At 41.5% G+C, this 20093-nt stretch overlaps 1 pseudogene across 1 annotated transcript in view; it reads left to right on the forward strand.

Moving 5' to 3' along the window:
• Positions 1-20093, forward strand: part of HERC2P2 (HERC2 pseudogene 2) — a 95995-nt pseudogene that overhangs the window by 9785 nt on the left and 66117 nt on the right. The window contains exon 3 of the transcript NR_002824.3: positions 12255-12369. The product of NR_002824.3 is annotated as an HERC2 pseudogene 2 (transcript). The remainder of the gene's footprint in view (positions 1-12254; positions 12370-20093) is intronic.

The following is a 20093-nucleotide window of genomic DNA, read 5'->3' on the forward strand; positions in this document are numbered from 1 at the left end:
AGACTCTGTCTCAAAAAAAAAAAAAAAAAAAAATGCCTTAACTGTTTGCTTGCCTAGTCCTGATTGGTATTAAAATATTGGTGGCCTATGTATGGGAGCGTGAAGGCTTGCCCTGGCTGCCGTGCTGCAGGTGTGGGTGCATGTTATGGTGTTGGTGGGAAGCGAATAAGCCTTGGAGTTGGGCCTCTTCCCAAATCCCGCCTCTCACAGCCTCAGTGTTGTGTGGCCTTTGGTCAAGTCATTGGCCTTCTGAGCTTCAGTTTAGTAACTTACAAAAAGTGAGCCTGTTACTGCCTCTTTTGCTGGGGTCTTTTGACGATGAAAGTGCCTTTACTTGCCATGTCATTTCAGAGGTGTAAGATAGGAATGTGAGATTGGAAAAGATTGGAAAAGAGTTCTTAGCCCAAATAACCTAATTAGAAGCTTCTGGGATCTGAACCAAAAAAGTCAAAAGTTGAAAAGCTACTGGGCACGTTTAGGTAAGTCAGCTACTAATAAAAAGCTAATTGGAGACAGTTGTAGAAATAAATACTCTCACTTTACAAATGGAAAGTCCCATTCATTTTTTTCTTTTTCTTTCTTTTTTTTTTTTTAAATGAATAGGGTCTCTGTCACCCAGGTTGGAATGCTGTGGTGTGATCAGAGCTTACTGTAACCTCAAACTCCTGGGTGCAGGTGACCGTCCTGCTGTAGCCTCCTGAGTAGCTGGGATTACAGGCACGTGCCATGCACTTGGGTAATTTTTACATTTCTGTAGAGACACGGTCTTACCATGTTGCCCAGGCTGATCTTGAAATCTTGGCCTCAAGCAGTTCTTCTGTCTTGGCCTCCCAAAGCTCTGGGATTACGGCGTGGGCCACCACGCCCTGCCTGTAGTCTCCATTCTTCTCAGTGCCACGGCTGTCTTCCAGTTGTTCCCAGGCTGCTGCTTCCTCAGTCAGGATCCTGTACTGTTTGTGATCTGGAGAGCTCTTCTGGGCTTCACTTTTGCTTGTTCAGAGTCTAACTCTCTGGAGACCTCCTCCAGTGAGGCTTGCTTTATTGCCTTAGTAATGTTCCACCTTTAAGGTGCCCAAATAGTTTTTTGAATGGTGCTTACCATTTATTTGGGTCATCAGTTCCTAGGAGGCTTCCACAGTGCATGTCCTTCCAGGAGTCCAGTGTCTACCTTCCAAAAAAGAATTCCTTGTTACTCAGAAGGACAAGGTCTGGCCTATCCTCTTCCTTCCCAGTGCTACCCAGGTAATAATCGAAAGGTGGTGGTAATTATTCTTGTTTCCATGTAAACTGGGCTTCCTCTTTGGCTTAGTCTTTAAATGTTCCATCTTTTGGCTTTTTTTTTTTAAATGGTACCTCTGTAACACTAATGTTTCTCAATCTAGGCTGTACCGCAGAACACTGATGTGTGGAGCCCAGCCAGTCTGGGGCGATCTTAGAGTGCTTTCAGGGCTGGGCAGGGGTCTCCCCTCTCTGCTTGGGTGTTGGCATCTTCTCCAGGACATCACCTACAGTCCATTTGTTGACTACTCCCAGATTTGAGTCTCTAGCCCTGAACACTCTGCTAAGATCTGGATCTATATTTACTGAGGGTTGGTGGAGTGGGGAGGAGCTCCATGTTTATGTTCAGTAGTTAGTGCAAATCTTAGTGGTTAAAACGGAACTAATTCTCATTCCTCTTCTGTTCCCTCCCTTATTTTCCCTTTCACATTTGATTTAACTTACGTGATTTGAAATAGTTTCTTTTTTTGTTTTTTAAGTCAGGGTCTCACTCTGTTGCCCAGGCTGGAATGCAGTGGCACCGTCACGGCTCACTGCAGCCTTAACCTCCCCGGGCTCAGGTGATCCTCCCACTTCAGCCCCCTGAGTAGTGGGACTACAGGTGCGTACCACCACGCCTGGTTAATTTTTGTATTTTTTGTAGAGACCGGGTTTCACCATGTTGCTCTGGCTGGTCTCGAACTCCTGGGCTCAAGCAGTCTGCCCACCTTGGCCTCCCAAACTGCTGGGATTACAAATGTGAGCCACCGTGCCCTGCCTGAAATAATCTTAAAGACTGTACTTCCCTGTGTTGACTTCTGCTGTCATCCTTTCTTTTTTGGACACTTGGTAATAGCCTTTTTTTTTTTTTTTTTTTTTTTGAGATGCAGTCCCACTCTGTCACCCAGGCTGGAGTGCAGTGGTGCGATCTCCACTCACTGCAACGTCCGCCTCCCAGGTTCAAGCAATTCCCTTGCCTCAGCCTCCCGAGTAGCTGGGACTATAGGTGCGTTGCCACCACATCTGGCTAATTTTTTGTATTTTTAGTAGAGATGGGTTTTCGCTGTGTTAGCCAGGATGGTCTTTATCTCCTGACTTCATGATCCACCCGCTTCGGCCTCCCAAAGTGCTGGGATTACAGGCGTCAGCCACCGTGCCTGGCCAGTAATAGCTTCTTAGTTCACCTTCTCTGTTTCTGTTTTCTGAAACACTTTAAGACACGGGTCAAATGTCGTATTCCCTTGAGTGCCTAAAGATAGTCTGAAACTCCTGGAGCACGGCCCACATGGAGCTGTGAGTTCTGACCACTGTTAGCCTCTTATCATGTGCATTGTGGTAGGGTTTGGACTGAACCCCAGTGCACGTATTCACTGCTCTCCTCTGACTGAAGACTAGAAGAGTCAAAGCTTTCCATTCACTCGTTAAACTTCAGGGGCCCTGAATGTTTTTGGCTCACTTTTTAATTTTATTTTTTATATTATTTTAATTTTTTAAATTTAAATTAAAAATTTTTTTTGACAGGGTCTTGCTCTATTGCCCAGGCTGGAGTACAGTGGAGTGATCTCAACTCACTGCAGCCTCTACCTCCTGGTCTCAAGCAGTTCTCCCACCTCAGCCTCCCAAGTAGCTGGGAGTACAGGCGCGCCACCACCTCTGGCTAATTTTTTGTATTTTTGGTAGAAATGCGGTTTTGCCATGTTGTTCAGGCTGGTCTTGTACTCCTGAGCTCAAACAATTCACCCGCCGTGGCCTCCCAAGTGCTGGGATTACAGGTGTGAGCCACCATGCCCAGCTTTCTGGCCAATTTTACAATTTTTTTGTAGAGACAGGGTCTTGCTATGTTGCTTAGATTGGTTTTGAACTCCTGGGCACAAGTGATTCTCTTGCCTCAGTCTTCCAAGGTGCTGGGATTAGAGATGTGAGTCACTCTATCTGGCCAGGGCTCACTTTTTAGGAAGGAGTTTACCTCTCCCCCACCAGCTGATATTTTTACCAAAAGTCATATGTTTTGGTTCCAAGTATGTTTATGGCAGTTATCCTGTTAGTGATGTGAACAGAAAAAATAACAGTGCTGAGGGAAAGCTGTTCCTTCTACAAAAACTGAAGGATGCTGGCTTGGTTTCTGTCGCTACAGAACAAGTTACCAAACACAAATTTGGCAGCTTGTAACAACAAGCATTTACACTCTCACAGTTTCTGTGGGTCAGGAGTCTGGCCATAGCTTAGTTCTATCCTCTACTTCAGGTGTCACAGGCTGTAGTCAAGGTGTTGGCTAGGGCACGCTGTCATCTGGAGCTCAGGTCCTCATTGGTAGAATTGAATCCATTGTGGTTGTGGGACTGAAACCCTGGGCTCTTGGAGGCTGCCCCTCCCCACAGGCAGTTCATTGGCTGCTTGCTTCTTCAGATTGGAGACCATCTCTTCAGGACAGTGCAGAGGGATGGAAAAAGGGAGAGGCAAATGGAAATCACAAAAGAGCATAGCGGTTATATCAGACCAAATAAATTTCAAGACCAAAACTATAAAAGGAGACCAAAAAAGTCATTATGTAATGATAAAGGGGCCAATTCAGCAAGAGGCTATAACTATTATAAATATATGTATATATGCACTCAACACTAGAGCACCCAGATACATAAAACAAATATTACAGCTAAAGAGAGAGAGAGGCGTTAATACATTAATAGATGGAGGCTTCAACACTCCACTTCAGCATTGGACAGATCAGATCATCCAGACAAAATTAACGAAGAAACATCAAACTTAATCTGCACTGTAGACCAAATGGATTTAATAGATATTTCTAGAACATTTCATCTGATGGCTGCAGAATTTACATTGTTCTCTTTAGCACATGGATCGTCCTCAAGGTTAGACCATATGTTAGGCCACAAAATAAGTCATTAAAAATTGAAACCTTGATACTAAAAGCAGACAAAGACACGTCAAAGAAAGAATACTACAGGCCAATGTCTCTGATGAATATTGATGCAAATATCCTCAACAAAATACTAGCAAACCAAATTCAGCAATACGTTAGAAAGATCGTTCATTGTGATGAAGTGGGGTTTATCCCTGGGGTACAAGGATGGTTCAACATATGCAAATCAATCGATGTGACACATCATGTCAACAGAAGGATAAAAACCATGTGATTATTTCAGTCGATGCTGAAAAGGCATTTGATAAAATTCAACATCCTTTCATGATAAAATCTCTTAAAACTGATTATGGAAGAAACATACCTCAACATAATAAAAGCCGTATATGACAGACCCACAGCTAGTATCATACTGAATGGTGAAAAACTGAAAGTCTTTCCTCTAAGATCTGGAACATGACAAGGATGCTCAGTGTGGCCACCGTTATTCAACATAGTACTGGAAGTTCTTGCTAGAGCAATCAGACAAGAGAAAGAAATAAAAGGCCTCCACATTGGAAAGGAAGAAGTCAAATTATCCTTGTTTGCAGATGATATGATCTTATATGTGGAAAAACCTAAAGACTCCACAAGAAAATGATTAGAGCTGATAAATTCAGTACAGTTGCAGTATACGAAATCAACATACAAAAATCAGTAGCATTTCTGTGTGCCAACAGTAAACAATATGAAAAAAATTAGAAAACTAATCCCATTTATAGTAGCCACACATGAAATTAAGTACCTGGGAAGTAACCAAAGAAGATAATTACAAAGATCTCTGTAATGAAAACTCTAAAACCCTGATGAAAGACATTAAAGAGGACACAAAAGATGGAAAAATATTTCATCTTCATGGATTGGAAGAATCAATATTGTTAAAATGTCCATACTACCCAAAGCAATCTACCGATTGAGTGCAATCCCTAGCAAAATACCAATGACATTCTTCACAGAAACAGAAAAAAAAAAAATCCTAAAATTCATGTTGAACCACAAAAGACCCAGAATAGCCGAAGCTCTCGTAATTAAAAAGAAACAAACTGGAGGAATCAGATTACCTGACTTCAAATTATACTACAGAGCTATAGTAACCAAAACAGCATAGTACTAGCATAAAACAGACACAGACCAACAGAACAGAATAGAGAATCCAGAAACAAATCCGCACATCTACGGTGAACTCATTTTCGACAAAGGTACCAAGAACAAACACTGGGGAAAAGACAATCTCTTCAATAAATGGTGTTGGGAAAACTTGATATTCATATGCAGAAGAATGAAGCTAGATTCCTCTTTTGCCATATAAAAGTTAAAAAAATTATGTTAAGTATCTTCTCTGATCACAATGGACTATAACTAAAAATCAATAACGAGGAATTTTGGAAACTCCACCAACACATGGGAATTAAACAATATGCTCCTGAATGACCAACAGGTCAGTGAAGAAATTAAGAATGAAATTAAACAATTTCTTGAAGCAAATGGCAATGGCAGCACAGCATACGAAACCTGTGGGATATAGTGAAAGCAATACTAAGAGGAAAATCAAAAAAGTAGAAAAACTTCAAATAAATAACCTAATGATACATCTTAAAGAACTAGAAATGAAGGAGCTAACCAAACCCATAATTTTAAGGACAGAAATAATAAAAATTAGAGCAGAAATAAAATGGAGTTGAAATGAAGAAAATAATACAAAAGATCAATGAAATGAAAAGTTGGTTTTTCTAAAAGATAAATTGACAAGCTTTCAGGCAGGCTAAGAGAAAAAGAAGACCCAAATCAGAGGTGAAAAAGTAGGCATTACAACTGATATTGCAGAAATTCAAAGGGTCATTAGAGACTATGAACAGCTATATGTCAATAAATTGGGAAACGTGGAAGAAATAGATAAGTTTGCAGGCTGGGCGTGGTGGCTCATACCTGTAATCCCAGCACCTTGGGAGGCTGAGGCGGGTGGATCGCTTGAGGTCAGGAGTTTGAGACCAGTCTGGCCAACATGGTGAAACTCCATCTCTACTAAAAATACAAAAATTAACCAGGTGTGGTTTTGCGTGCCTGTAATTCCAGCCACTTGGAAGGCTGAGGCACGAGAGTCACTTGAGCCCTGGGAGGGGGAGGTTGCAGTGTGCTGAGATCATGTTACTGCACTCCACCCTGGGTGAAAGAGTGAGACTGTGTCTTCAAAAAAAGAAGGAAAAAGAAATGGATAATTTCACAGGCACATACAGCCTTCCAAGTTTGAACCATGAAGAAATCCAGAACCTGAACATACCAATAACAGGTAATGAGATTGAAACTGTAATAATAAAAAGTCTTCCAGCAAAGAAAAACCCCAGGACCCAGTGACTTCACTGCTGAATTTTACCAAACATTTAAAGAAGAACTATTACCAATCCTAGTGAAACTATTCTGAAAAATAGAGGAGGAGGGAATACTTCCAAACTTATTGTAGAAGGCCAATATTACCCTGATACCAAAACCAGACAAAGACATAATCAAAAAAACAAAACAGGCCAGTATCCCAGATGAACATTGATGCAGAAATACCCAACAAAATACCAGCAAACCGAATTCAACAACACATTAGAAACATCGTTCATCATGACCAAAGTGGGGTTTATCCCAGGGATGCCAGGATGGTTCACCATATCCAAATCAATCAGTTTGATACATCATATCAATAGAATGAAGGATAAAAAACCATATGATCATTTAAATTCATGCTGAAAAGGCATTTGATAAAATTCAACATCCTTTCATGATAAAAACCCCAAAAAACTGGTTATAGAAGGAACACACCTCAACGCAATAAAAGCCATATACAACTGACACACAGCTAGTATCATACTGAAAGGTGAAAAACTGAAAGCCTTTCCTCTAAGATCTGGAACAAGACACGGATGCCCACTGTCACCACTGTTATTCAATATAATAATGGAAGCCCTTGCTAGAGGAGTCAGATAAGAGAGAGAAAGGCCGGGTGCAGTGGCTCACACCTGTAATCCCAGCACTTTGGGAGGCTGAGGTGAGTGGATCACTTGAGGTCAGGAGTTTGAAGCCTGGCCAACATGGTGATACCCTATCTCTACTAAAAATATAAAAATTAGCTAGGCGTGGTGGCGGGTGTCTGTTGTCCCAGCTACTCGGGAGGCTGAGGCAGGGAAATCACTTGAACCCCAGAGGTGGAGATTGCAGTGAGCTGAGATTGTGCCGCTGTATTCCAGCCTGGGCTATGGAGCAAGACTCCATCTCAGAAAAAAAAAAAAAAGAAGAAGAAATAAAGGGCATCCAAATTGGAAATGAAGATGCCAAGTTACTCTTGTTTGCAGATGATTGTTGTATTTGGAAAAACCTAAAAACTCCACCAAAAAATGATTAGAACTGATAAATTCAGTAAAATTGCAGGATACTAAATTAACATACAAAAATCAGTAGCATTTCTCTCTCTCTTTTTTTTTTTTTTTTTTTTTTTTGAGATGGAGTCTCACTCTGTGGCCCAGGCTGGAAAGCAATGGCGCAATCTCGGCTCACTGCAACCTCTGCCTCCTGGGTTCAAGCGATCCGCCTGTGTTAGCCGCCTGAGTAGCTGGGATTACAGGCGCCTGCCACCAGGCCTGGCTAATTTTTGTATTTTTAGTAGAGACAGGGTTTCACCACATTGGCCAGGCTGGTCTCGAACTCCTGACCTCAGGTGATCCGCCTGCCTCGGCCTCCCAAAGTGCTGGGATTACAGGTATGAGCCACTTTGCCCAGCCAAATCAGTAGCATTTCTATATGTCAACAGTGAACAATATGAAAAATAAATCAAGAAAAATAATTCCATTTATAATAGCTACAAATAAAGTAAAATACGTAGGAATAAACCTAACCCAAGAAGTGAAAAGATCTCTACCACGAAAACTGTAAAACATTGATGCAGAAAATTGAAGAAGACACACAGAAAAGGAAAAGATACTCTGTGTTCATGGATTGGAAGAATCAATATTGTTAAAATGTCTGTACTACCCAAAGCAATCTACAGGTTCAATGTAATCCCTATCAAAATACCAATGACATTCTTCACAGAAATAGAAAAAAAAATCCTGAAATTTGTATGGAATCACAAGAGACAGAATAGCCAAAGCCATCCTGAGCAAAAAACAAAACTGGAGAAATTGCATTACCTGACTTAAAATTATACTACAGTCACTTCCTGGTCTTTTTTGGCTTAGATCAAGTGCAAAGTTTACTAGAAAGGTATACCAAAACAGCATGGTACTGGTATAAAAACAGACACCTAGACCAATGGAACAGAATAGAGAACCCAGAAACAGATCTATACATCTACAGTGAACTCACCTTTGACAGAGGTGCCCGGAGGATACATGAGGGAAAGGATAGCCTCATTGATAAATGGTGCTGGGAAAATGGGGCACCCATATGCAGAAAAATGAAACTAGACCACTATCTCTCACCATATACGAAAATCACATCAAAATGGAGTAAAGACTTAAACCTAAGACTTCAGACTATGAAAGTGCTAAAAGAAAACATTGGGGAGACTCTCCAGGACATTGCACTGGGTAGTGATTTCTTGAGTAATACTTCGTAAACACAGGCAACCAAAGCTAAAATGGACAAGTGGGATCACATTGAGTTAAAAAGCTGCACAGCAAAGGAAACAATCAACAAAATGAAGAGACAACCCACAGAATGGGAGAAAATATTTGCAAACTACCCATCTGACAAAGGATTAATAACCAGAATATATAATTAGCTTAAGCAACTCTATAGGAAAAAAATCTAATAATCCAATAAGAATGGGCAAAAGATTTGAATAGACATTTCTCAAAAGAAGATATACAAATGACAAACAGGCAGTACGAACAGGTGCTCAACATGGTTGGTCATCAGAGACATGCAAATCAAAACTATAATGAGATATTATCTCACCCTAATTAAAATGGCTTATATCCAAAAGACAAGAACAAATGCTGGCAAGAATATAGAGAAAAGGGAACCCTTGTGCACTGTTGGTGGGAATGTAAATTAGCACAGCCATTATGGAGATTAGCTTGGAGGTTCCTCAAAAAACTAAAAATAGGACTATCATATGATTCAGCAATCCCACTGGTAGGTATATACCCAGAGGAAAGAATATCAGTATGTTGAAGAAATATGTACACTCTCATGTTTATTGCAGCACTATTCTCAATAGCCAAGATTTGGAAGCAACCTAAGTGTTCCCAGCAGATGAATGGATGAAGAAAATGTGGTATATATACTCAACGGAGTACTATTCAACCATGAAAAAGAATGGGATACTGCCGTTTGCAACAACATGGATAGAACTGGAGGTCGTTATGTTAAGTCAGGAACAGAATGTCATGAGCCAGACCCAGAAAATCGAACTTTGCATGTTCTCACTTATTTGTAGGTGCTAAGCAAATGAAAGTAATTGAACTCATGGAGATAGAGTAGAATGATGGTTATCAGAGACTGGGAAGGATAAAGTGGGGGTGAAGTGCGGATGGTTAATGGGTATAAAAATGGAGTTAGATAGGGCTGGGCACAGTGGCTTACGCCTGTAATCCCAGCTCTTTGGGAGGCCAAGTCAGGTGGATCATGAGGTCAAGAGACCCAGACCATCCTGGCCAACACGGTGAAACCCCATCTCTACCAAAAATACAAAAATTAGCTGGGTGTGGTGGTGTGAGCCTGTAGTCCCAGCTACTTGGGAGGCTGAGGCAGGAGAAACCCTTGAACCCAGAAGGCAAAGGTTGCAGTGAGCTGAGATCGCACAACTGCACTCCAGCTTAGTGCCAGAACGAGATCCGTCTCCAAAAAAAAAAAAGAGTTAGATAGAATATATAACCCATATATATATACATACAACTAGTGTGTATCCACAGAAGTTAAAAAAAAAAAAAAGATGGGCAAACATCTGTCTCTTTTAATTAAAAATGGCTTTTGTTTTGCCAGACAAGGGAGCTTCTGTCACATACGCAGTTTTCAGAATGGATGCCTTCCCCCAGTGTCTGAAATGCTCCCTTTTCCTGTTCTGGGAAGCCTTTTCTGACTCACAAATGTTGACAAGCAAAGGCGTTTTTGATTTTGATGCTCACAGTTATTATAATTATTATAAATTTGGCCAGGAGTCCCTATCATCTTTGAACAGCTGCTTTTTTTTTTTTTTTTTTTTTTTTTTTTTGAGAAAAAGTCTTGCTCTGTCACCCAGGCTGGAGTGCAGTGGCACAGTCTTGGCCCACTGTAACCTCCGCCTCCTGGGTTCAGGCTATTCTCCTGCCTCAGCCTCCCAAGTAGCTGGGATTATGGGCGCCTGCCACCATGCCCAGCTAATTTTTGTATTTTTAAAAAAGATGGGGTTTCGGCATGTTGGCTAGGCTGGTCTCGAACTCCTGACCTCAAGTGATCTGCCCGCCTCAGCCTCCCAAAATGCTAGGATTATAGGCGTGAGCCACCGCACCTGGCCATGTTTGAGGAAACAGCTTTTTCTTTGAGGAAACAGGCTCATCTTTGTCTGCCCTGGCCCTTGAATCTACTTATTTTCCCAAGAGCCCTAGCGTCTTTTATCGGGAAATGGTTCTAAGAGACCAAAATCTGGGTGCCGCTGTCAGATTGCCTTTGATTCTAGTCCTTTAAAAAACAGAGTAAGCAAATATATTCAAAAATAAAGTTCATAGATTTCCAATTTAAGTTGTTTTTCAAAATTTCTTTGATTTTTTTTCCTCTTTTCCACTGAAAACCTTAATTTTTTTTTTTTTTTTTTTTTTTTTTTTTTTTTTTGAGATGGAGTCTCGTTCTGTTTACCCAGGCTGGAGCACAGTGACATAATCTCGGCTCACTGAAACCTCTGCCTCCTGGGTTCATGCTAGTCTTCTGCTTCAGCCTCCCGAGTGACTGGGATTACAGGCATGCACCAGCACACCCGGCTAATTTTTCATATTTTTAGTAGAGATGGGGTTTCACCATGTTGGCCAGGCTGGTCATGAACTCCTGATCTCAAGTGATTTACCTGCCTTGGCCTGCCAAATGCTGGGATTACGGGTGTGAGCCACCATGGCCGGCCTAAAACCTTAATTTCTGAGAACATTTAATACTTTATCATAAACATGTTTTATTGTATTTACACTGCTTTATTGTGCAACATGAAGTAGTTCTAAAATTGTGAGAGTGTTATCAATACCGATAAATATTTTATTTTTCATTATAGTATATTCTATTAATGATATGTAGTTCAAAAGTCCCTTGACATACTTTTCTTTGTATATGCATGGGTTAATTTGCTTGTTGCCAGTTGTAGGTTTTGCTTTTTTATGATTTAATTTTAATTTTTGAGGATGAAAGTCATGTATGTTTCAGAAGTAAAGACATCTAAAGTATACTCACAATGTTGTTGCTTTTTCTGGTCCTGCTGCCTTTGTCCATGTCCCCTCCCCATTTCCCCGTAGGTAGTCATTGGTACTTGCTTTCGGTTTATCTTTTCAGAGCATATGCACGTGTGTGTGTTTGTGTGTGTGTCTTTTTTTTCTTTTTTTTTTTTTTTAACACCGAGTCTCGCTCTTATCAACTCAGGCTGAGTGCTGTGGCGCGATCTTGGCTCACTGCAACCTCTGCCTCCTGGGTTCAAGCAATTCTCTTGCCTCGGCTTCGTGAGTAGCTGGGATTATAGGCGCCCGCCACCACGCCTGGCTAATTTTTTGTATTTTTAGTTGGGACGGCGTTTCACCGTGTTGGCCAGGCTGGTCTCAAATTCCTGATCCCCCGTGATGTGCCCCGCTCGGCCTCCCAAAGTGCTGGGATGACAAGCATGAGCCACCTCGCCTGACCACGTGTCATTTTTCTTGTATGTTACATAAGAGGTAGAATAGTATTTATACTATTATGCACCTTTTCATTTATATTTCTTGGATGACTTTCATGAAATGTAAAATGATTAAGTCACTAATTCAGTAAATCATTGATTTTATTACCGAATGATCGAATACATAAGGGGGATTGAGATTTTTTCCCATATCATTCTTTAAAAATTGCAGTGTGAGTGTGAGCTTATCTCGTTTATCATTGCCAGCTTGCATTCACAAGAGATGGGCTCTGTGGTCTGTGGAATGAAATGGTTAAAGATGGAGAAATTGTATACACTGGAACAGAATCAACCCAGAACGGATAGCTCCCTCCTGGAAAAGGTAAGGGCCTTTAACTAGTGTTTTTTATTTGGTAAAGACCATTATAAAATGCATTTTATAGAAATTTTGTAATGTGCTATAGGAACAGGAGCTTTGAGCTTAACTCTTTGAAGTTTTGCTTTTTACTTTGGAGATTGTTGTCTAAAATGGTAGTTAATACAAGCTGCCCGGATTTTATTGTTTTACGTGAATTGAAGGCATTTTTATTGCAAAACCGTCTTGCTGCATTTGTGGTGTTCTTTGGGGGTGTATTAAACACTTATTGGAAGCCTTTGGCCTGCAAGGAAATGCCATTGAACAATCTTATTTAGCGTTGTAGTTTTGCATGCTCAATAGGACTATCATTAGGTTGTTCATAACAGTGGCTGTGTTTCAGAGTCCCCATTGAGGTTTAAAAAAATGGATGCTTGTATACACCCTAAACTTGTTGAATCTGAAAAGATCCTTGGTTGAGAACCACTGTTGAAGTTCGTTGGTCCCCCTGCTTGAGAGTCATCAACGTGGATAAAGCTACCACTTTAGAAAGTATTTATTCTAAGTTGAAATAGCTCAGTTGGGAGAGCATTAGTCTGAAGAAAGTATTTCTTCTTCTTTTTTTTTTTTTTTGGGAAGGAGTCTTGCTCTGTCGCTGAGGCTGGAGTGCAGTGGCGCGATCTCAGCTCACTGCAAGCTCCACCTCCTGGGTTCATGCCATTCTCCTGCCTCAGCCTCCCAAGTAGCTGGGACTACAGGTGTCCACCACCACGCCCGGCTAATTTTTTGTATTTTTTAGTAGAGACAGGGTTTCACCGTGTTAGCCAGGATGGTCTCAATCTCCTGACCTCGTGATCCGCCCGCCTCAGCCTCCCAAAGTGCTGGGATTATAGGCGTGAGCCACCGTGCCTGGCAAGTATTTATTCTTCTTTTGTGGAATGAATTGGGATGGTGTCCACTTGAAAATACTTGGGGACCGGGCGCGGTGGATCGTGCCTGTAATTCCAGCACTTTGGGAGGCTGAGGCGGGCAGATCATTTGAGGTTGGGAGTTTGAGACCAGCCTGGCCAACATGGTGAAACCCCGTCTCTACTAAAAAATACAAAAATTAGCCAGGCATAGTGGCGGGCGCCTGTAATCCCAGCTACTTGGGAGGGCACGGCAGGAGAATTGCTTGGAGCCGGGAGGTGGAGGTTGCAGTGAGCAGATATTGTGCTACTGCACTCCAGCCTGGGTGACAGAGTGAGACTCCATCTCAAAAAAAAAAAAACAAAAAACACAAAACAAACCATGGGAAAAAGTATTAGTCTCCCTCTTCAGTTTCAGTGTCAAGCAGAGTTACCTGTGTTTTTATTTTAATTTATTTTTTATATTTGTTTGAAAATATTCACACACACACACACACACACACACACACACACACACAATAACTGACAGACGTGTACAGTGAGTGGCTGCAGACCCACCTCCATGTTCTGCCACCGTATTTGGCTCCACATCCTGCTGTCTGTCCATCCACCGTTTGTCTCACCTAGCTCCTTAGACACTCATGTATGTAATTGATTCTAGTTCAACTTTGTTTTTGACTTTCAGGTAAAATTTATATATAATGAAATGTATCTATTTTGAGTTTACCATTTCACAAGTTTTGACAAATGTAACCCGTGTAACCCACATCTTTATCATGACTCTTGCTCAGAAAGTTCTCTGGTGTCCTGCCCCTTCTTCCCAGAGGCAATAGCTGGCCTGATGTTTCTCCAGCATTGACAAATTGCGCCTGTTCTAGAACTCCATACATGGAATCATGTAGTCGGGTTCTTCTGTGTCTTGGCTTCTTTCACTCTGTTTAGTGCTTTTGATTTTCATGTTTTTTTTTTTTAAACAACATAATGGGTTTATATTTAATATAGCACTTCTCATCAGGAGGTGTTACTCAGTTAATATAAAGTTTTTATTAACATTAAATCTCTTTTCCATGTCAATGTCTATAGTGTTTTTTTTTTCTTTAACATTAAGTCTTTTCTCCATTTCAGTATTAGATACACTGAATACATTTTTCTAAATGATTTTTTTTCTTTCCAGAGATAAAAGTTTCCCTTTTTGGCTGACTATTGGATATCTGAATTTGGGAGATGACAAAAGTCTAATAAAAATACAGAGAACAGACTCAGTGATTTAGGAGGCAGTGATTACGACTGAACAGTGGCGATTTCCTAGGATTCTGGGCAAAATCCATTTATGTACCAATTTGTTCCCATTTCATGGAATCAACTCAGAAAGTAAAACTCTCCTACTTACTAATTCTTGGAAACTTTCAGACACCAAAGCTTACATTTAGTTTCAGTAGCACAAAGGTTTTCAGGGTGAGGTTTCATTCATTAGGCCCTTCAAAGTCACATCTGTTCATTTTTATCTTTCGTGCGTATACCCGCAAGCAAGTACAAACACCTGTAATACTGAGAACCACACCTTTTAACGAGAGAGCAGTTGCATCACTGGCTTCCACTGCCTTGACAGCAGGCAGCACCAAAAGCAGTGACATAAGGACTAAGGACAATTGTGTTGAAACTGAGGTCATGATGTTGGGATTTTGAGGGCTGAATGTTCCAAGTAAGTGGTATATATAGAATTCTCTCTGACTTGAAATTTTCCCTTTCTGGACCTCTGGATGCTGAGGCTAAGAGTGTCCATATGACAGTGTCTTCCAAGACAGGAATCAGCAACCTTTTTTTGTTTTTCTGTATCAGTAATTCATTCTGTATATTTTAAAAAGTTTTAACCTCTTCTTCCTAGCCCTCCAGTATTTGTTTATAAATTAAAACGTTTCCCAAAGTGTTTTCTGTGAAACAATAGTTCTAAAAGGTGCTCTAAGAAAAGCTAAGTACATGGCAAAATCCAAAGTATATGTTTTATTCATTACATTTGATGAATTTTTTTTGTTTTTTCCTCTCGAGAGGGAGTCTTGTTCTGTCGCTCAGGCTGGGGTGCAGCGGCATGATTTTGGCTCACTGCAACCCCTTCCTCTCGGGTTCAAGCAGTTCTCTGCCTCAGCCTCCTGAGTACTCAGCTAGGATTACAGGCGCCCTCCACCATGCCCAGCTAATTGTTGAATTTTTAGTAAAGACGGAGTTTCACCATCTTGGTCAGGCTGGTCTTGAACTCCTGACCTCATAACCCACCTCGGCCTCCCAAAGTGCTGGGTTTACAGGTGTGAGCCACCATGCCCAGCCCACATTTGATGAATTTTTTTGTCTTTTGTTCTTTTAAAAATCATGGTTGGAAAGCAGAGCATAATTGTTCTTTATGTAGATCCCAACTGATTGGGATTGTTAGGGAGATGTTTTGGCATTCAGTAAATGTTTTTGTTTTCCATTATTAAGACTATGAATATTTTATTTTATTTTCTGAGACAGGGTCTCAGAATTTGTCAAATTTGTAAAATTTATAGCCAGATGTAGGGTAGGGGTGGCCTACTTTCTGTAAAGGGCCAGATAGTAAATATTTTAAGCTCTCAATGGACCCTATGGTCTCTGTCATAGCCATGGGACCTTGCAGCTGTAGTGCCAGAGTAGCCACAGACAATACTACGTCAGCGGGCTGGGGACGTTCATTCTGTAAACTTTATTTATGGACACGAAAAGATGAAGTCCACAGAATGTTTGCAAGTCACAAAATACTGTTTTTCTTTTGATTATTTTTCAATTATTAAAAACTATAAAATACGGTGGCTGGGCGTGGTGGCTCACACCTGTAATCCCAGCACTTTTGGAGGCTGAGGCAGGCGGATCACCTGAGGTCAGGAGTTCGAGACCAGCCTGGCCAACATGGTGAAACCCCATCTCTACTGAAAACAAAAAATTAGCCGGGCATGGTGATGCACCCCTGTAATCCCAGCTCCTCGGAGGTTGAGGCATGAGAATCACTTGAACCTGGGAGAATCGCTTGAGCCTGGGAGGCAGAGGTTGTGGTGAGCCAAGACTCCATCTCAAAAGAACAACAAAACTAAAATACTTTCTCTGTGTTCAGACCATACACAAAAAGGCTGTGGGCTGGGTTTGTCCTGTGGGCTGTGGTTAGTGACCACACACACACACACACACACACACACACACACGGCAGAGTCTGGCATTCAGAGCCAGCACCTGTGTTCTCACCTGAGCCGTGTTCCTGGCTGGGTTCTACTCTGTATTCTGTGACTCGAGGTGTCTACCTTGGTAAACTGGAGGCTGTTTTAGTTTGCATTCCCGCTGACAATCTGTCACGTTTCTGTTGCTCTGTGTCTTTGTTAGCACTTGGTGTTATCAGTGATTTTTAGTTGAGCCATTCTAACAAGTCTAGTGGGATCTCATTGTGGTTTTAATTTGCAATTCTGTAATGGCTAACAATGCTGAATATCATGTTCTTTTTTGCCACTCTTGTATCCTCTGTGAGTTTCTGTTCAGATCTTTTGCACAGAAAAAGCTGTATCATGGAACCAGTAAAATAACCAAGGAGAGGTTGATTAAAGTTCTGTTTATAACCCTAGAAGATTCCTGCCCTAGGGATATGGGATGGCTGAACGTAGGACACCGACACTGGACAGATGAAATAGCAGTTTATTAGTCACGCATGCTCACAGCCCTGGGGTGGGGGACACCGCATGCCACACGGGGGCTGCACTTGGGAACAGAGCGAACCACGAGGGGCTGTGGGAGGCACATTTTGTAGTAACAGGAGGGTGAGATGACCTTGCTTCCATGGGAAGATGTGACTGGCTTGTTTGAATAACTCTGGGCCGGCAGGGATGAGCAGGCTGGGGTCGGGTTTCCGCGATAAGGAGGTTGTTTGGCTTTGGGATCTTATCCGTGAGAGCAGAGCTCAGGGGAGACCTTGTGGTTAGGCTATTTGAGGCCTTCTTGATTTTACCAATGTCAAGGCAGCACGTAATATTTAGTCTTAATTTCAGGCCACACGAGAAATTCTTCTGTATCTACTTTCCGTGGCACTTTTCAAAAGGTTTTGTCCTTAGTGTTTAGCAGTTGATTATGATGTGCCTCGTCATGGCTTCCTTTGGATTTATCTTGTGTGGGCTTTGTGCAGATTCTTCAGTCTGCCTGGGTTTATGTCATTTGCTGAACCTAGGAAGTTTTCAGCCATTAGTTCTTTGGATATTTTTTTCAGCATTCACCTTTTCTCTCTTGTTATTAACCTGTGGGGTCTGTGCTAATTCTAGGTAGTTAGTTTCAGAATTGAATTGCACTGTGGGACACAAAGCTGGGTGTCGCAGAGAACTGGAGAATTGCTTGGTGCAAAAGTCCATACATTTGGTGTCAGAAGTGTTATAAACAGAGGAACTGTTTCCTTCGAGATTTTTAGATAGTCATTATTTGTAATCTGGATGGGATATCATGTCTTTCCCCGATTGAGATACATTTTTCTAATTATGTTGTTAGACATTTAGTCACAGCCTTCTGTGATGGAATGTGTTTACACTTCAAGGTTAAGGTTAGTTCTCTCTTCTCTTCGCTTACTGTGTAAGGAGTTTTATGACAGTTGTTTTTGACTGAAACTTGACATTGTCAGTGGCCTAAAGTGATTTTTCTCAGCTTTTCCTTTGTGTCCCAGTGCTCTTGAATTATGCCAGCAGTGACAGTGCCCCTGCATAGCAGTGCTTCCCAGTTGGCAGTGGAGTAGGGCCTTGTAAAGAGTTAAAAGATTTTTGAATCATACTCTTGTTCTACACCCTCCCTTTTCCCATGGATACACAAGCACTGGGACTCACTGGATAAAAGCAATTGGTGTGAAATTGAAGTAGGTAAATATGAAAGACTTAAGTTTCTCAGTTAAGAAATGTACTAGGAAGTAGATGGAATATCATTTTGGAAGACATCCTTTAAATAATTTGTTGTATTGGTTTCTTTTTTTTTTTTTTTTGAGATGGAGTCTCGCTCTGTCACCCAGGCTGGAGTGCAGTGGCATGATCTCAGCACACTGCAAGCTCTGCCTCCCAGGTTCACACCATTCTCCTGCCTCAGCCTCCCGAGTAGCTGGGAATACAGGCGCCTGCCATCATGCTCAGCTAATTTTTTGTATTTTTAGTAGAGACGAGGTTTCACCGTGTTAGCCAGGATGGTGTCGATATCCTGACCTCCTGATCCACCCGCCATGGCTTCCCAAAGTGCTGGGATTACAGGCATGAGCCACCACGCCCGGCCAATATATTGGTTTCTTTATGAAAATTATACTGGATCTGTTACAGGTATGATTGATGTATTTTATTTTTAAGTTGTCAAGCATTCAGTTAATCATGTGTGTTGTAACTTTTCGGGGAGGGACATTTGCAGAGGCTAACGGTATGACATTCTGAAAAGCGGTGACAGATTAAAAAATTTTTAATTCTGCAGATGATAGTGTCGAACCAAGTGGGACAAAGAAAGATCTGAATGACAAAGAGAAAAAAGATGAAGAAGAAACTCCTGCACCTATATATAGGGCCAAGTCAATTCTGGACAGCTGGGTATGGGGCAAGCAACCAGGTGATCTTGCGAATTTTGGCACTTTGGAAAGGTTGATCTGACACTCCCTTTCTAAATAACTTGAATGGATTCTTAGTATTTTTTTGGTAACAATTTTTTAAAAACTAATTAAAAAATTTAAATATTGTGGTAAAATATACATACCATGTAACTTACCGTTTTAACCAGTTTTATGTGTACAGTTCATTGGCATTAAATATATTGACATTGTTGCCCAGCCATCACGCTTGACTAATTAGAGACAGAATCTCACTGTGTTGCCCAGGCCGGTCTTATACTCCTGGCTTCACGGGATCTTCCTGCCTCAGACTCCTGAGTTGCTGAGATTTCAGATGTGAGCCATCGCACCTGGCACTATGTGTAACTTTTTGAGGAAGCAGTAAACTGTTTTCCACAGTGGCTACATTGTTTTACATTCTTGCAGCAGTATACTAAGGTTCCAATTTCTCCACACCCTCACCAACACTTTTTGTTTTCTGATGATAGCCATCCTAATTTGTGTGAGTAGGTACAGCATCTCATTGTTTTGATTTATATTTCCCTGTTGATTAGTCATGCTGAGCATCTTTTTACATGCTTATTGGCCATTTGTATACATTCACTGGAGAAATGTCTATTCAAATCCTTTGCCCGTTTTTTGTTTTTTTTTTTTTTTGGGGAGATGGAGTTTGGCTCTTGTTGCCCACGCTGGAGTGCAGTGGTGCAATCTTGGCTCATTGCAACCTCCACCTCCCAGGTTCAAGTGATTCTCCTGCCTCATCCTCCCGAGTAGCTGGGATTACAGGTGTCCGCCACCGTGCCTGGCTAATTTTTTGTATTTTTAGTAGAGACGAAGTTTCACTATGTTAGCCAGGCTGGTCTTGAACTCCTGACTTCAGGTGATCCACCCACCTTGGCCTCCTAAAGTGCTGTATTACAGGTATGAGCCACTGTTCCTGGCCCTTTTGCCCTTTCTTTTTTTTTTTTTTTTTTTTGGAGACAGAGTCTTGTTCTGTCACCCAGGCTGGAGTACAGTGGCATGATCTTGGCTTACTGCAACCTCCACCTTCCGGGTTCACGCCATTCTCCTGCCTCAGCCTCCCGAGTAGCTGGGACTACAGGCGGGCACCACCACACCCAGCTAATTCCATTTTTTAATTGAGTTTTTTGTTTTGGGTTATAGGAGTTCCTTATCATGGATGGACTTTCATAATCTCTTCCCTTTCTCCAACCCAGTAAAACCCATATATTTATTCT

This window comes from Homo sapiens, chromosome 15 (genome assembly GCF_000001405.40).
Source record: "Homo sapiens chromosome 15, GRCh38.p14 Primary Assembly".
Taxonomy (NCBI): Eukaryota; Metazoa; Chordata; class Mammalia; order Primates; family Hominidae; genus Homo; species Homo sapiens.